We start from the raw sequence: 17,718 nt of genomic DNA on the forward strand, positions 1-17,718 counted from the left end.
GTAATCACAGCATATCATATACCAAGGATGGGTTCTTTGGTTTTCCGCACCACCACTTGCTTGTTGGAAATAGTTGTATTTTCCCTTGCTTACTACACGTCCGTCCTTCCTCTTGTGTTATAGATTCGGTGGAAATACATGATAGTGGACGAAGGCCACCGAATGAAGAATCACCACTGCAAGCTGACTCAGGTCTTGAACACTCACTATGTGGCCCCCAGAAGGATCCTCTTGACTGGGACCCCGCTGCAGAATAAGCTCCCTGAACTCTGGGCCCTCCTCAACTTCCTCCTCCCAACAATTTTTAAGAGCTGCAGCACATTTGAACAATGGTTCAATGCTCCATTTGCCATGACTGGTGAAAGGGTACTGGTCTGAGTTCTGTTTTTTCCACTGCATGATAATGACATGAAATGAAAGGCCCTAAAGCTGAGAACATTAGAGCCACAGAACACCCGCAGGGTGGTTTCCACTGTTGTTTATTTTATGAAACCCATCGGTGGGTGGACATGGTCTTGTGGTGGGGTTATTTTCCCCTCCTAGGAAAATGGATCTAGTGGTACATGGGGCATCTAACCCCTTTGTCTTTTGCCAGCATGTTTACCAGGCTACCAGAAAAGGGTCCCAACCGGTGGAATGCTTAACTGCAGTGGGCCACAGGGAGGATGAACATGGAGATATTTTGCTGAAGTAATTTAACCAGACCAAATTAACCAACTAAATACAAGCTTTAAACAAATCTTTCCTTGTTACAAACTTGGAGTTCCCTTTAAAATATTTCCACATAAAGATTTTGTGTGTAAAACAGAACTAGTTTTCACACATTTTCTGCAGACCTTTTTTTTTTCTTTTTAGGTTTTAATGTGATTTTCAGTTTTGTGTGTACATAAATAGTCTTCCTGGAGTAGCCATTTATTTTCCAATTTCTTATTGTTCCTTCCACTGTCTTCTCTTAAGAGCTCATTTATGAAAGGTAGACAATGGGCCATTGCAAGAAAAGAAATGGGCACGTGTCATTTTCATAGTGGTTCCTCATTCATAGGAATGAAAAGCCACTAAAAATGCTTTAGTAAAATTTCGGTTTGAATTATTTGGCCCTTTGATGTTGAGGCACATGGGCCCATCCTCAGTAGTTAACTCACTGGCTTGCCCATTTGTAGAAAGTAGTGTCAATCAACTCTGCCCCCTAGAGGTTAATAGGAGAAGGTGAAAGAGAAAGCCGGGAAATGTATAAGATGGACTAAACTTGAACTAGATAGGGCTGAGAAAAGGAAAGGAGTGAAGTTAGAGGGACTTAGAGGTCCACCAGCATAAACTGGATCAACTCTTGTTCCTCTTCTTTATATGTTCAAGCCCCTGTTCCTTTAGTATGTTTCTGTGTCTGAGACAACCAAGACGAAGGGCCTAACTTAAGGCTGCCACTTTAAATAGGGAACATATTAACTGTTGCCCACCTTCTCCCATTCTATCTCAGTCTTCAGTCTGTCTTCATTGACAGTCATATCCCATACAATTTGAGGCTGTTGACACTACTGATAAAAAACTGGTGGCTTCCGGGCTCTTTTCCATAGAACTCAGCGTTAAGACAAAGACACCTATTTAGAGGTCATTTTGTTACCACTTGGTAGGCAGGTGGGAAGATAATTCAGAGGTAGATATGACAGGCTTAAACTTGGCTTTAATGCATGTAAAATGTCAATCATGTATTGAACCACACATATGTAACATAAAGCTTTATTGTATGAAACATCCTTTTCTTTAAAAAATCAAATTCATAATAAGCCTCTCTTACAGGTGGACTTAAATGAAGAAGAAACTATATTGATCATCAGGCGTCTACATAAGGTGTTAAGACCATTTTTACTAAGGAGACTGAAGAAAGAAGTTGAATCCCAGCTTCCCGAAAAAGTATGTTGCACAACCAAAAGTTGTGGGTTTTTTTTTTCCTCCAGCAAATATATTTGAAGTACCTGCCTCTGAAATTGTGTTTCTGAAACAGCAGACTCATATTGTAGTTAATAGTATCTTGAAAATATCTTAAATTGTTTTTTTGTTTGATAGGGCTAGAGAGAGCAGGGAAATTATAGCATTTGCAGCCTGTTTTCCAAAAGCGTTCGAGCAGATTTTATGAAATTATCAAATTCACTGAGTCTCATTTACATTTTAATTTTAGATTTTTTTTTTTTTTTAAATTACGGACCTCATTGAGTTCACTGTTGCAGGCACTGTAGAATTGTTCTGCTTATAAGTGAATGGAAGATTTGGCGTTGGGGACTTGTATCATCATTGAAGGGGGTGGTAAACATTTACAGGTTTTCTAGAAATTTATTTAACATTTGATGTTTGTGATGTCACCATTCTGACAGTAAGTGAAAAAACAGAGTTCCTGCAAATTACAGACACATCATCTAATTATTCGGGGACATTATTTTTGTTCTGTGCCATAAAAATTAAGTTCCTGTGAACATTTTAAGCCAGTATTTTTCGGACTAACTTTTGGAAACTTAGTCTGCAGTACTTTAGAACACCTTTTGAGCCCTTAGCTCCATGTTTTGGGGTTGGATGTGAGTATTAGTTTAATATGTTTCTGATCATATTTTGGAACCATGCATATTTGAATTCTAAGTTTCATTCTCTTAGAGACAGTTTAGCATTGTGTACTATTTGTTGCATGAGGTATTTTGATTTGAGTTTTTTCTTTAGAAGAGCCAATTCTGAAATGTCTTATTTTTGCATGATTGTGGTTTTTCTGGGTAACGACTCTATTTTTGGACAGATTGGTTCATCCTGTTCATTTTTAAGTGGGAGTTTTCAAGATGGTGTACAACGTTGATCACTTTGTTACGAGAGAATTTTATTCCCTAATCCTTTATGCATTGTCAGAAAAAAAATTAAAAATGACTTTTATACCATGCATATCTCAGTGAAAGTCTACGTATTTAAGTATTTTATTCTGCTGGTGAATGCATCTTGGACGTAGAATGCTATTGATATTCCCTTGGACTTCCTGTGGTCTTGGCCTCTGGGTAGCACCCTTTCTGTTCAAGATGGAGTTTAGTTACTGAGTAGATAAATTGATGAATGGGTATAGTGGCCATGTGGGTGCCTTGAATTACTTCCTAGCATACAGTTACGGTGATTCTGCAAGTGATAGAGATGGAATGTTAAACATTTTAATTTATCCCATAATTTCTTTTTTTTTCTTTACAAGAGGTATAAAATAAAAGGCAATTAACTGAAGCCCTTCATTTATTCATTCCATAAGACTTCTTAATCTTGTTCATTCACTTCTAAGACTGGCTAATACAGATAGATTTTTAAAAATATATTGCAAGTTGAAAGTATGTTATGTTGTAAGAAAATCCACTAGAGAAAAATTGAAATTTTTGCAGCTTAAGAATTATGAGGTGATTAATTATATCACAAAGGAATTCTTTGCTTTACAAAAATATTTATTTTATGGTTCTTTCTACAAGAGAAGTTCCTGAGTATACTTGAAGGATGATAAAATTTTTATGAAATGTATCTACCCTCAAATGATCACGAGTATGTCTCTTGCATAAAGTATACATGTATTTATTAACACCCAGAGTATTATATTTGAGGTATGTAAAATACTCAGTGTGTGGTATTATCTACCTTTAGAGGTATCTGTACCTTTAAAGGCAGCCATGTTATCTTTTCCTTTGGTGGAGTGGAAATCATGGGCTCTGCCTGTCAGAGTAGGCATGGGTTTCACCACATTCTCCATCTCTTACTATGTGAACTTGGGCAAGTCTTCTAACCTAAATGGGTCTTAGTGTTCTCATCAGTGAACTGGAAGATAAATGACTCTGTCTTATGGAGTTGTGAGGATTAAATGGATGTAGGGCTCCTAATACCATGCCAGGCACATGGTGGGCACCCAACCAATGACAGCTGCTTCTACCATATTCCTTATTTTCCACTCATGTTGCTGTCTCTGTTATTAATGGGAGTTCCATTTTCCTATTCTTGAAGCTCTTTCTCGCTGTTCTCTTGTCTTTGCTCTCCTTCCGGTAGCCCCCCCACATCTCTCTCCATAAACTTTTCAAGCACTTTGTGTGTGTATGTGGTTGTTGTTGATATGGCTGGGCTGATGTTCATTTTCTACTTTTTCAGCCTTGTTAGGATTTTTTTTTTTTAGCCTGGGGAAAGTTGGAAATTTCATTGCCATCCTAGGGGGTAAAGAAGTTTCTTCTACCACCACTGCTTACAGCCACAAACAATGTGCATGTCTTACTTAGCCTGGATAAAGAATCCAGAAAGGAACTACGGCAGATGGAGGAAAAGGCTAAATACTTTCACAGCAGTAATTCTCAAATGTTTTTATGAAAAAAGAGCCATATAGGAAAGAGGCTTTTACTTTTATTTTTTAATTTATGTGTAGCAAAATTTGCTTCTTTTGGTGTATAGTTTTATGAGTTTTGACAAATGAAGAGTTGTGTTAACCATGCCCACAACAAAAATTCAAAACAATGTCATCATCCACCGCTCCAAAAAAAATTCCCTGGTATTTCCTGGTACTACTTCTTTTCAGTGAAACCCTCCCTCGGCTCGTAGCCTCATGCAGCCACTCATCCGTTCTCCATCCCTGTCTATAGCTTTATCTTTTCCAAAATGTCGTATGAGTAGAATAAGACAATGTATAACCTTTTGCATGGTTTTTTTTAATTTGGCAAAATGTGTTTCAGATTCATCCATGTTGTTGCATGTATCAATAGTTGGTTCATTTTTATTGTTGAATAATATTCCATTACATGGATGCAGCGCAGTTTGTTTGACATTTGGGTCATTTCTAGTTTTTGACAATTATGAATAGAGCTGCTATAAACTTTTCATGTACAGGTTTTTGTGTGAACATAGGTTTGCATTTCACTTGAGTAAACGCCTTAGGTGTATGACTGGTTGATCGAATGGTCAGTGTATACATAGATTTGTAAGAAACTTCTGCATTGTTTCTTAGACTGTCTGAAGCACTGGGTAGTCCCACCAGAAATATATGACCATTCCACTTCCTCCACATTCTCATTAGTGCTTGCTATTGTCAGTTTTTCAAGATTTTTAGCCATTCAATAGGTGCATAGTGGCGTCTTGTAACTTTGATTGGCATTCTCTAATGTCTAATATTGTTGAGCATCTTTTCATGTGCTTTCTCAGGTGAAACTAAAGCAGGTATATAAAGGCCACGGTTTTGTAAATGCAGGTCAACCGCATAGGAAAATTAGCTTTAATATTGGTCTAATGAAACACTTAATGAGCAAGGGAATATACCCACCCCCCAACCACCAACACCGCTAAGCTGTTGTCATAAAATCCATTTCTTATGCACGGGAAAGAATGCCAAATAGAAAAGGGATTATGTAAGAACAACTTAAGCTAAATAAAAATTGATTTTTCTATTTAGCTCACATTTAAGGTTGTCTGTGCTGACTCTTTTGTTAATTCATATCATCAAGAACCAACTATACTTGCAATTGGCTGGGTATTTCTTTATGTCTAAATATGCTAAAATATGTATATAATATCTGAGGTTAACTAGAGGTTGACCTACCTAAAGTCAATCCTGATTCTGATATAATTTGTGAAAAACACCAACAAAGCTTTGCTTACATTGGCAATTTGTGTATTCATTATATCAAATTTTGGAATGCTTAGCATAATTAATCATTACTTTGTTCCTCTCTCATGCCATAGCGTTTAGAACCTGAGACTTTTCATAAATTGAATCATATTGTTTACAAATCTCAGTTCACAAAGTGGTGATATATCGCATGTAGTTTAGGTTTATTATTCCAATAAAACATCCTTTAGGAAGGGGAATTATAAATGAAGAATAGTATTCAGGCAGAAGCTATGAACAAAGTTCAAATACTTCTACAGGGGTATATAAGAAGAAATGCTGAGCCAGTATAATGACCTGATTTGCCTACTTTTAGGGACCAGTTAGGCCATTTACTAACATAAGAATGCTTAGGAGATAATTACCAGATACATGAGGTCAGCACCTCAGTTTTACATATGATTTAAACAAAAATAGCTCCAGTGGCTCTCACAAACCTAACTTACTGGGAGAATCACCCCCGTGAAGAAGTCACAAGTTTCATTTGCTATAGCACCAGTATATTTTGAGGAGCTTTCACATGCATGCTCTAAACAGATGCCATCACATTTTTTGGGGGATGAACTCAGACTCAACCGAGTTGGAGTTGGCACGATTATTATAAAAACTTCTCTCGTCACTGTGATTCAGTGTGGTGGCTGTATAATTGTTCAGTCCATCCCTTTTCTTGATACAAACCTGTTGATTGCCTGCTCTGTACGTTATACTGCACTCAGGCCAGGTGGGAGGCACAATATACCAGAAATGGGAGGCATGGTGTGAGAAGTCAACAGACTTGGCTGTGGAGATGAGGGCTACTCACACTGAATAATAGTGTGGCAATGCAAGGCAGCATCATCCCACCAATCAGAATGAATGATCCAGGCATTCAGGTGGTTTAGGACGGGGTACCCAGTATGTACACATGGGTGTATGTGTTGGGAAATGCTTATTAGTAATCCATTGGGTGGAGAAAGATGTTAGAACAATCATATATATTGATCTTTCTCTTAAAAAGTCTTCACTGATATTTAACATGCAGATTGACACCGGTACCTATGTGGTAGGTACGTATGTGTGTCTGAAAGCGAGTCATGTGCTGGGAGTACACTGTGTAGGTTATCCCAGGGGAAGCGTGAGAGTGGGTTTCCACCACTGGGAGCATCTGATAGTCCTTTCATCCTTGCTGCCTGGTTCATTTACTTTCTGCCAATGGTGGTGAGGCCTTATGGGTTTCCCCGTGCCCAGATAAGGAGATTTAGTATGATCTGATTTTAACTAAACTAACAACCCTGGTCCCCAGAAGGGCTTAAAAGGATTCTGCAAAGGAGTGCAGGTTGAAATCACATAGGCATAGATGAACAATGGGAAAAAGGCCATCTTGTCTCTTTTCCCATTCCTAGTATTGGTTTTCAACAGCCACATCATGGTACATGGGCTGGAGTTGACCAAAAATATTAGATATCATCAAATTGGCAGCTTTAAATAGGGCTATAAATCAACTTCCTTTAACATTGACCTGTGCCCTGAAAGTAACTCATATCTTGAGACATTAATATTAGTGCATGCATATAGTAATTCATAAATAAATATGTAGATATATGTTGGGAAAATGAGCTTCAGCATGTCTTCTTGTTTTTCTTCTCCATTATCAAAAAAGCTTACTGACAAACTTCTTTGAGAGAAATGAAAGGGAAATTGGCTTTGGCTGATAGTGTGATTGGGAAAGATCTTAAAAAGGGCCCTCAAGGTAGAGTAGAGTTAGAAAGGAGCCTTAAGACTAAGTAAGGATATCCCAGGCCTGGAGACAAGTACAAAAACAAACCAAGTGGCCTGGAGTTGTTTGAGAAGGCTCTGGGAGCAAACATAAAATATAGTTGTGAAGCTTATGTGATTTTTGATCCTGTGTATTAAATGCCCTAATTGTGTGAGGAAAGAGACTCTGCCTTCTAAGAGCAGCCATCAGGTCCTTGAGAGCTGCTTGCCTCTCTGCTGACTTGACCTCGTTGAGAATGCTTGGCATCCCTGTCTCCATGGTATCACCATGCATGCCTCCTGCTTTCCAAACTCCTTCACCTCCAGCCCTTAGCAGTGGCTGACTCATAGGAAGGTGCTTGAGTGTTCTTTCCTGAATTCTGGATCTGCCTTCCCCAAATGCACAAGCATCAGCCATGCCTTCCACATTCAGGAAGGTTTGATCAAGCCAGCAGGGAGGTGCAGGTGAAGGTGAACCTCAGGCAGAGCTAGGAAGCCTGAAAATCTCCTCAGTCGTCCTAACGTGGAGCTTAAAAGAGTGGATTCTATTTCAAATCCTAACTGTGCCATTCAATAGCTATATCTTTGGGTCTGTAGCTAAACCTCTGTGGTGCTCAGATTCCTAATCTATAAAATGAGAAGGCTAAATGTGGCTATCCCAGTACAGCTCTTTTGTGTGTTAAATGAGAGAAGGCTCAGAAAGCACTTTGCACAGGGCTTTTTCTGTGGAAAGAGCCCAGTAATATTAGTCCTTGATGTCATTTTACCATTATACTTGTTAAAGTCTAAAGTTGTTCAGCGTTTTTCTTTACCCTTATCAAATGTCACTGTGAGTTAACAGCTCTTGAAAAAGTAGAAGCCTGGGGTAATCATTTCACAATGTTTATGTATATCAAAATCTCACAGACGTACCTTAAATATACACAATATGTATTTGTATATATTATACCTTTCTAAAATATTATACCTTGATACAATTATACCTCAATACAGCTGAAAAAATTAGAATTTTTTTTTTTTTTTGAGACAGAGTCTTGCTCCGTCACCCAGGCTGGAGTGCAGTGGCGTGATCTCAGCTCACTGCAACCTCCGCCTCCCGGGTTCCAGCGATTCTCCTGCCTCAGCTTCCTGAGTAGCTGGGACTACAGGCACACACCACCATGCCTGGCTAATTTTTGTATTTTTAGTAGAGCTGGGGTTTCATTATGTTGGTCAGGCTGGTCTGGAACTCCTGACCTCGTGATTCGCCCGCCTCGGCCTCCCAAAGTGCTGGGACTGCAGGCGTGAGCCACCGCACCGGGCCAAATTATAGAAAATTTTCATAAAAAAAAAAGGAGAAGTACTTTAAACATATAACATGATCAGTTATCTAAAACACAAAGCCTGTATTAAATGCATACTTATTGATTAATCTTGGAGATTTTTCTTTCACCTGGCCAAGAAGGTCATTAAAGACTAAAGCATGTTTTTGGAGGGTTACTTACACTTCTCACCTTTTCTGTAAAAGAGCGGGCTTTTCTCTAATCTCATTTGATGCATGAAAATGTGTGGCCAGAAACTATTAATTGTGCTTCCATGTGGCCTGACAGATTCCTTCGAAAGCAACAATTGAAGGAATATTCAAGTTCTCTGTGACCTCTTCTCCCTGGCCCTCAGAGCTGCAAATAATGTGATCATTTTACATCAGTTTATTAAACATTAGTCAGCTTGCTGATTTATTTTTAATCACATTCTGCATATTTCTAGGCATTAATCTGATGTTTATTATGAGAATTGCACATTTGTATTATTGGGATTCTTTATTAAATAAAGAAAAACAATGGTAGGAAATAAGGCAGATTTTATGTATTAGGAGTATGATAAAGTACGCAGGTGTGTGATAAACCATGAGCATGTGAATTCCCCTTAACTTTTTAAAATTGGATTTTGATGGTATTTCAACTGGAAGCACAGGAGGCCTTGTCCTCCTTTAGATGACCATAAAGTAGTGTCCAATTGTGGATTAATTTCTCTTCCACCTGTTCTCACTATGTTGTATCCTGCCATTTCTCAAGAGTAGAAGTTAATGGTAGTCACCCTAGGGATGTTATAAATCTCACTTTAAGACTAGTATTAGAGATACCACATGTGACCATTTAAAAATGTTTCACAAAGAAAATCACAGGATATTTGCCAGTCACTGCTTTTCCTAAAACCGTTCTGTTCATAGGAAAGGAAGTATAATTGGGAAGTGAAGGAAATGCTAAAAATATCCCATATTGAACATTTTTGAATTTAAACAGTTTGTAAGCCATTCTCTCTCTCAAATTTGGAACCAAGTCAAGAAATTTCAGAAAACATGACCCTAGCATCAATTACATATAACCTTCAGAAGGCCCCCCCATCATAATGGTACCTTGAACAATGATGACTCTGGTCTCTTCTAACACCCCCATCTCACCCCGCACTCCGTGAATCCAAGAAAGAGAAAGAGAGACACCTTTGTGCTTCCAGGAGTGACACTGACTCAGCAGTCTTCTTAGAACAGGCGCCTTCTCCTTCCTGCTCTTGCCTACTTACTGTTCTCTTTTCTGCAGGTGGAATATGTGATCAAGTGTGACATGTCAGCTCTGCAGAAGATTCTGTATCGCCATATGCAAGCCAAGGGGATCCTTCTCACAGATGGTTCTGAGAAAGATAAGAAGGTACGTTGCGAAAGATGATGCAACTCAAGGTGCTGTGGTATGTCTTCTCATGGCTGTGACATTGAATATTCACAGGAAGCATCCCTGCTAATGCTGATTTGTTAAAGTAAATCACTGGACCTCCTTTGAGCTATTATAGCTGCCAAAGATAATCTCTTCACCTCTTAGCTGCATTGGGGCAGGAAGAAAGAAGGAATATGTTCATATTACCAAAATAGTTAGCTCTGCTTATGTCAATTTTGCAGCAAATATATTCTGCCTAAGTGTGGGGTGGCATTTTAGAAGGTTTTAAAATCCAGTTTCACTCCCTGGGCATCTGTTCTGTGCTTCTGTGTTCCGGAGTCCTACGGAATAGACAGTCATGTCGCAAAGCCATATCCCTCACTGGACATAATCCTTCAAGGTTCACTTTTTTTGTAGCGTAAGTTAATCACAAGAAAGACATTATGTCTAACTCAGGAACTGCTATATAATTAAAGAAGCTTTGAACCACAAGGTGTGTAGGTGACTGAAAAAACCTATGGTCCTTTGTCCTTTGTATAAGAAGCCCAGTGTGAAGGATCTGAAATGTCTGACCAGTTAATAATTAATTCTATTTTTCCCTTTCCACTGGTTCTTAGGGGAAAGGAGGTGCTAAGACACTTATGAACACTATTATGCAGTTGAGAAAAATCTGCAACCACCCATATATGTTTCAGCACATTGAGGTAAGTCTGTATTGTGTGTTTTGAGCCTGATTGTGCTAATCATACTAATGCTAGTTAAAAAAAAACAAACAAACAGGAAAAAAAAAAACCAAAATAGATTTAAAACATGTTGGCGGAAGTTGAGATGACATGATCTGATAGCTCGACAAGCAGAATTAACAAACATGAGTATTCTGGTTATGGGTTCTCATTGGCACCAAGCATTTGAGCATCTGGAATTTTATAACCAAGAGTTTAAAGTGGAGAGAAAATGCTATAAGCAGTGGCTCACTTGTGTGGGTTTGGGTAAGTACTGTGAATTACCTTGTTATACTGGGAGCTCTGAAATTGAAGATAATGATAAATACATTCAGCTTCCTCAAAAGAATGCCGTGAAAAATATTAAAATAATGTATTTATGACTTCTAAAGAGAAAGATTTTCTTTAAATATTTTCTTTGTAAAAGACACTGGCTTTAGTCTGTTACTTTGATTTATATTTTTCCTTTCTTGTTTCTGTCATGATGATGTAAATCCAGGCTTTCATCCTGATGCTCAGGTCTCTAGAAAGCTATTTTGCAGGGAGAGGACATTTTCTGCCATGTTCACTCCATGTGAATAAGTTTCCTAAATTGACAGTGTTTCACCCCAGTGGGCACAATTGACTGGAGCAGGAATGAAAAGGAGCCACAATTGTATTCCCCATTTGTCATTGCTGCTGCTGAGGCAAATGGTCCTGGTGGCAATTATTTGCCAGGGTAGTGCCTACTTGCTACTGCAAAATGGGCAGGAGACATAGAGAACATCACTGCAGGGCTCCAGTGTCTGCACCAATTTATTTTAAAAAATACATAGAAACTTCTGGAAAGTTAAAACTTAATCACAGTATAAAAATTGAGTTGGAGCACTCTTCTTTTCGAATATTCTTTTTTGTCCCTTATTTTTGGCAGTTGTACATGTCAGGTCAGAGTATTCATGGCACACCATATCCACATGTCAGAGTTCTTTCCTAGCTGTGCTGGATAATTGGAAAGATTTCTGACACTGCTATTCAAGGAGTCCATAGGAGAAAGTATCCATAGACACTGGGGAGTGTACCCATAGACATAGGAGAGAGTGTGTGGGCATAGAGGAGAATATCCATAGACACAGGGGAAAGTACCTACATACTGGAGTAAAATGACAACAGCAACAACACTTTAAAAATCTCATGGCTGGGTGCAGGGGGCTCACCCCTGTAATTTGGGAGGCCGAGGCAGGAAGATCACCTGAGGTCAGGAGTTCGAGACCAGCCTGGCCAACATGGTGAAACCCCGTCTAAAACTACAAAATTACAAAACTACAAAAATTAGCTGGGTGTCGTGGCAGGCACCTGTAATCCTAGCTATTCAGGAGGCTTAGGAAAGAGAATTGCTTGAACCCGGGAGGTGGAGGTTGCAGTGAGCCGAGATCGCACCATTGTACTCCAGCCTGAGTGACAACAGCGAAACTCGGTCTCAAAAAAAAAAAAAAAGTCACAGTTATTTACATGTATTGTTGAAGGGGATTGCAATGGCCAAAAATGAGTTCATATCCACCAGGTCACTTTGTAACTGTGAACTGGGGTAAGTCACTCAGATTCTTCATGTTGTAATGTGCTTGATTTGTAAACAGGGGTAATAATAGATTATACTACTGGCAGGAGGACCAGCTTTTAAACAATAACATGTGAAGCATCTTGTAAACTGATGATGTGTTATATCAGATTTAAGGTACCAATGAATTGGTGGTGGGTGTATGTTGGGTTTAGAGGAGCTGGGAGAAAAGTCTAATGATGAAACTGTCTGGGATTTTCTTAGTCTAACCTGTTACCCACTGTCCCATTTCTTCTGAAAACAATTTTAAGACATGTATGGTAATCTATGGGGGCCTTTGGGGACTTAGGAATTTTGAAGATTAAGCATCAATCTTACTTCGTTTTGGTTATCATAAAAGAAATGACCCCTTGAGCCATGCTGGGCTAAGTAGGGAAGGAAGGGAGATGATGCCTTCTGTCCTCCAGCTTCAGTTTGGAGGGTGGGAAAGGATAGAGGAGGAGGGGGAATCATGAAGGAAGCGAAGTTGAAGGTGCATGCCCTTCAGTACCTACATATTGACATTTTAAGTAGCAGTTGGTAGAAAGGCAGACTCTGATTTGCAATTTTTTTCCCTAGAAACAAGAGATCCACAGTTATTGGCAAATCTATTGACAACTATGGAACAGAGATGGTGTGTGAATTTGCCTTTGTTGTGTTTCGTTTGCCACACACCCTTTGTTCATACTAAATCCTGCCAGATGCTGAGCCTCAAAATGGGTCTCACTGCCTCCCTGGGGACCTTAAACTCAAGAAATGGAAACAGTATTTTTAACATGATGCTGTTACCTAATCTCCAACAGCATCCATTGACCCCTCTCTTTGGTTTTGACAATCCTGCTTGGAGACAGGGATGGAGCCTAATGGAGACCATGGGTTTGGTTCTAGGGGATGGAGTTGAGGTATTGGCCACAGTCCATCCTGTTAATTTTGCCACAGGGCTGGAGCCTACCGTAGATCATGAGCATATTTGAGAGTACTGTTGAGCCCAGAGGGAAAGATCTGGTCCCCTTGGAGGAAAAGCTGCAGGGATCCAGGGAGGAGGGAAAGCAGAAAAGGGAGACAGCCGGTGGCTGATGTGAAGGTGTAACCTGCTCTCCATTCCCACAGATGGTTGCCATTCCCATAAAGTCAGAATGGAGAAATGCATGGAGAACAGTCATTTCTCATAAAGTCAGAATGGAGAAATGCGTGGAAAACAGTATTTCTTTCTGTGAATCAGAAAGGACGGAGTTATGTGATTACGTTCTGTATTCTGAAAACAGAAGCTGGACACTTGAGGGGTGCTGTACATCTAGGACCTTATTTGTAATGGAGGAAAGCACAGTATAGAGGAGACATTAGGATTTCACCTAACTGGCCAGGTGTGGTGGCTCATCCAATAAGCCTAGCACTTTGGGAGGAAAAGGCAAGCAGGTCACTTGAGGTAAAGAGTTCAAGACCAGCCTGGCCAATGTGGCGAAACCCTGTTTCTACTAAAAATACAGAAAATTAGCCAGGCATAGTGGCACATGCTGTAGTCCCAGCTATTCAGGAGTCTGAGGCAGGAGAATCGCTTGAACCTGGGAGGCAGAGGTTTGCAATGAGCTGAGACTGCGCCACTGCACTCCAGCCTGGGCAACAGAGTGAGACTCTGTCTCAAAAAAAAAAAAAGAAAAGATTTCACCGAACTAAGAATTATAATATATTATATAATCACAATTATTTTTATTGCTGAATTTTTCCACAATACATATTGTATTAGTCCAGTTTGATGCTGCTGATAAAGACATACCTGAGACTGGGTAATTTGTAAGGAAAAAGAGGTTTAATGGACTCACAGTTCCACATGGTTGGGGAGGCCTCACAGTCATGGCAGAAGGTGAAAGGAACGTCTTACATGGTGGCAGACAAGAGAGAATGTGAGGCAAGTGAAAAGGGAAACCCCTTACAAAGCCACGAGATCTCGTGAGACTTATTCACAACCATGAGAACGGCATGAGGGAAACCTTCCTCATGATTCAGTTGTCGCCCCCAGGGTCCCACCCACAACACATGGGAATTATAGGAGCTATAATTCAAGATGAGATTTGAGTAGGGACACAGCCAAACCCTATCACATATATTTATATATACATATTAATTCTGATTTGCTTGTTTTTGTGCTCTTCTAGTCTAGACTCTGTATTCCTTGAGTTCAGATCCACCCTAGAGGGTGGATCTCCAGAAATAACTATTGGCTCCGCTATGGGCCAGTGGGTGCTCAGTGACTGTGTGATGGGTAAAGTAACCCTGTTACCTGAGAGTCTAGAGACTAGAAGAAACTCACAGGATACTTTTCTGATGGAACAAAAGTCTGCATGCAATATACTGAATTTCTGGTTCATTACGTGTGTAAGTTTTTTGCTTATTCATTAATTATTTTGTTTTAACTATAGAAATAGGTAGGATAACCTCACTAAAAGAGTAATCATTAAGTTAATAATTACATTTTTTAAAATCATTCTTTCTATCTCTCTCTTTTAAAGGAATCCTTTGCTGAACACCTAGGCTATTCAAATGGGGTCATCAATGGGTAAATCTCAAATTTTTTTTTCTTTTAAAAAAAAATGTTGTTGGCCTTACATAAACTCCTCCTCTCTACAGTGTTTCCTCTTGTGCAAATACTTACTTCCAGCCCTCTAAGGGCTCTTCAGTGGAGAAGTTAACCAAAACGGTATCAGCATTCTCTTTTACTTTACTGGCATAAATTATTACTTGCCTTAAGCAAGTGGCTATTCAAAGGACATAGATCTTATTTAATAGACTTAATAGTATCCTAGTGTTCTAAAAATGTTGTTGAAGCTTCAAAGGTTTGTTATTTATAACCAAAAGTATAGCTTGGGCTTGAAGAGAATGTATCTTATTAAATTTCACATTGACATTTGACATTAATGTACATGAGAAGAAATCTCTCATCTGCTGTAAATGTTTACAGTTTTATAGTCATTTGTTAGAGTGTGGTCTGTGTAAGAAATGTTTTTCATTAGCAATGGATGTTAAAGAGAATCTTGACTTGCAACAACAAAAATGAACACTGCATTAACAGAAAGTGTGTGTGTGTGTGTGTGTGTGTGTGTGTGTGGTGTGTTGCAAATTTGAAAAATTTATTATTAGGATGTAGTCATCATTTTTGGATCCCAAGGGCGGACAGTTTCACTGGGCTAAGAACCAGGAACTATAGCCTATCCTGAAGCAGTGCTGCTAAGCTTTCCCTACCTCTCCTTGCCTCTCTCTTCTCTGGGTTCTGTGGTTACTCCTGCTCCCATCAGCTTGGCCAGGGTTGCATGGTGAAAACACAGCTATAGGGTATTTGGAGAACAGTTCTCAGAGTGGAGGATGGATGTCGGGAAGACATACGTTTGAAAATGTGTCTGTTAGAAATAACATATCCTGTGTCATAAAATCAACTACCAGATGAGACATTTCAGTACTATAGATTACATGTGCACTGGCAAGTTTTCCAAACAGTATCACCTAAAATTCGGTTTTAATTGTATAACACAGTCCTGTTGATAAAAGAAAAAAATGGGTGAACTGTAGAGGGAAAAGGCCCTGCTTTAGCCTTTCTCCATATCACAGCGTCTTCTGCATCTCATACTCCCAACGTGTTTTTGACTTGTACTTGTATAGTAATCCAAGACTCTTGTCCTCCCCCAGTCCATTCTTACATGACGTCCATAGTGATCTTATAAAAAGGTACGCCAGACCTCATCACTCCCCTGCCTAAAACCCATTGATGACTTTTCATTGCACTGAAAATGAAAACGTTCAGTATAGCTCATAGAGCCCTAAAGAGTCTGTTCCTAGTCCCATCCTCCACCTCTCTGTCTTCATCTCCCAGTATTCTCTCCTCACTTCTGTTTAAGCCATGCTCCCTGTTTTTTTTTTTTTTTTAATTTCTCAAATCCTTCTGTCTCCTTTACCCCTCAGGACCTTTATGCATGCTCTTTCCTCTCCCTGGAATCTCCTCCTCTCCACCCCAGTGCCCCCGTTCTTCACCTGGATGCCTTTTTACTCATTATTTCAGGTTTTAGCTAAAATGTTATCTCTTCAGGGAGGTCACCTCTGACACTCTAAACCAGTGGTTGGCAAACTTTTTCTGTAAAGATCCAGATTGTAAATATTTTCAGCTTTGTGGGCCATAAAGTGTCTGCCACACCTGCTCAGCGTAGCCTCTGTAACATGAAAGCAGCCAGACAATAGAGATGAGTGAGTGTGGCTGTGTTCTGATAAAACCTTATTTGTAAAAACAGACAGCAGACGGGGCCAAAGGTTGCCAAACTCTGCTCCAATCTAAAGAAGGCATCACATGTTGCTGTGAGTTTTCTCATTGGAACTTGTTATTTTAATAGTATTTATTACAGTTTGTAATTATCCATTTAGTAAAATGAGACTCTGTTTTGCTTATTATTATATACATGGCTAGCACTGTGCTTGGTACATAGTAGGTGATCAGTAAGTATTTAGATGAATCTTAAGTGCCCTGAATTAAAAATTTAAAAAGTTATATACTGAATAAGGAGAAATTTACAGAAACATGGCATATACGTGTGTGTGTACGTGTGTGTGTGTGTGTGTGAGAGAGAGAGAGAGAGAGAGAGAGGGCGAGGAGAAAGAATAAGTTGAGAGAAAGATTGAAAGTATTAAGAACATGAAAGTGGTTCCTTTTCTTTCTAGAACCTGTCATCATACCTAGTATATGCAATGCACTTTTCATGGGTTTTATATGAATATATTTTCCTTTTCTGCTAAATATTCTCATTGCTTTGGAGTTCATATTCATTCATTCATTCATTTCACAGTTACTTATTGAATGTTTACAGTGTACAAAGGACTATATGAAAAGCAAAGCAATGCTGGATTTTTTAAGAAGACAGAAGTAATACTGTCTTCTTGTTTTTGCATTTTTTTGGGTTCAGGGCTGAACTGTATCGGGCCTCAGGGAAGTTTGAGCTGCTTGATCGTATTCTGCCAAAATTGAGAGCGACTAATCACCGAGTGCTGCTTTTCTGCCAGATGACATCTCTCATGACCATCATGGAGGATTATTTTGCTTTTCGGAACTTCCTTTACCTACGCCTTGATGGTAAGTGCATAAGGCATTAGGCTCGGAAGCCATACTACTGAAAATGAAGGGATAATGGGCACTTAGGTCCAATCTCAGCCAAAAAGAAGGGGTAAAATTGAAGAATTGACTAGAAGCATTGGGAGCAGTTTTTCTAGATAGCAATTTTTTGCATCCTTAAGCTTTAAATAAGCTGACCTCATTTGTGCAGCTGCATAGCCCACAAATAAACCAACACAAATGAGTTTAGAGTCACTTTTGAGTACCTAAATAAA

At 39.3% G+C, this 17,718-nt stretch overlaps 1 protein-coding gene across 4 annotated transcripts in view; it reads left to right on the forward strand.

Moving 5' to 3' along the window:
* SMARCA2 (SWI/SNF related BAF chromatin remodeling complex subunit ATPase 2) overlaps positions 1-17,718 on the forward strand; it is a 178,274-nt gene that overhangs the window by 71,359 nt on the left and 89,197 nt on the right. For 3 of the 4 annotated variants that reach the window (NM_003070.5, NM_139045.4, NM_001289396.2), the window contains exons 18-23: positions 124-366; positions 1,795-1,908; positions 9,952-10,059; positions 10,680-10,766; positions 14,865-14,911; positions 17,298-17,464. In NM_003070.5, coding sequence (NP_003061.3) covers positions 124-366; positions 1,795-1,908; positions 9,952-10,059; positions 10,680-10,766; positions 14,865-14,911; positions 17,298-17,464 — 766 coding nt within the window. The remainder of the gene's footprint in view (positions 1-123; positions 367-1,794; positions 1,909-9,951; positions 10,060-10,679; positions 10,767-14,864; positions 14,912-17,297; positions 17,465-17,718) is intronic. The other variant, NM_001289397.2, reaches the window with a different exon arrangement.

The sequence above is a fragment of the Homo sapiens genome, chromosome 9, assembly GCF_000001405.40.
Source record: "Homo sapiens chromosome 9, GRCh38.p14 Primary Assembly".
NCBI classification, from domain to species: domain Eukaryota; kingdom Metazoa; phylum Chordata; class Mammalia; order Primates; family Hominidae; genus Homo; species Homo sapiens.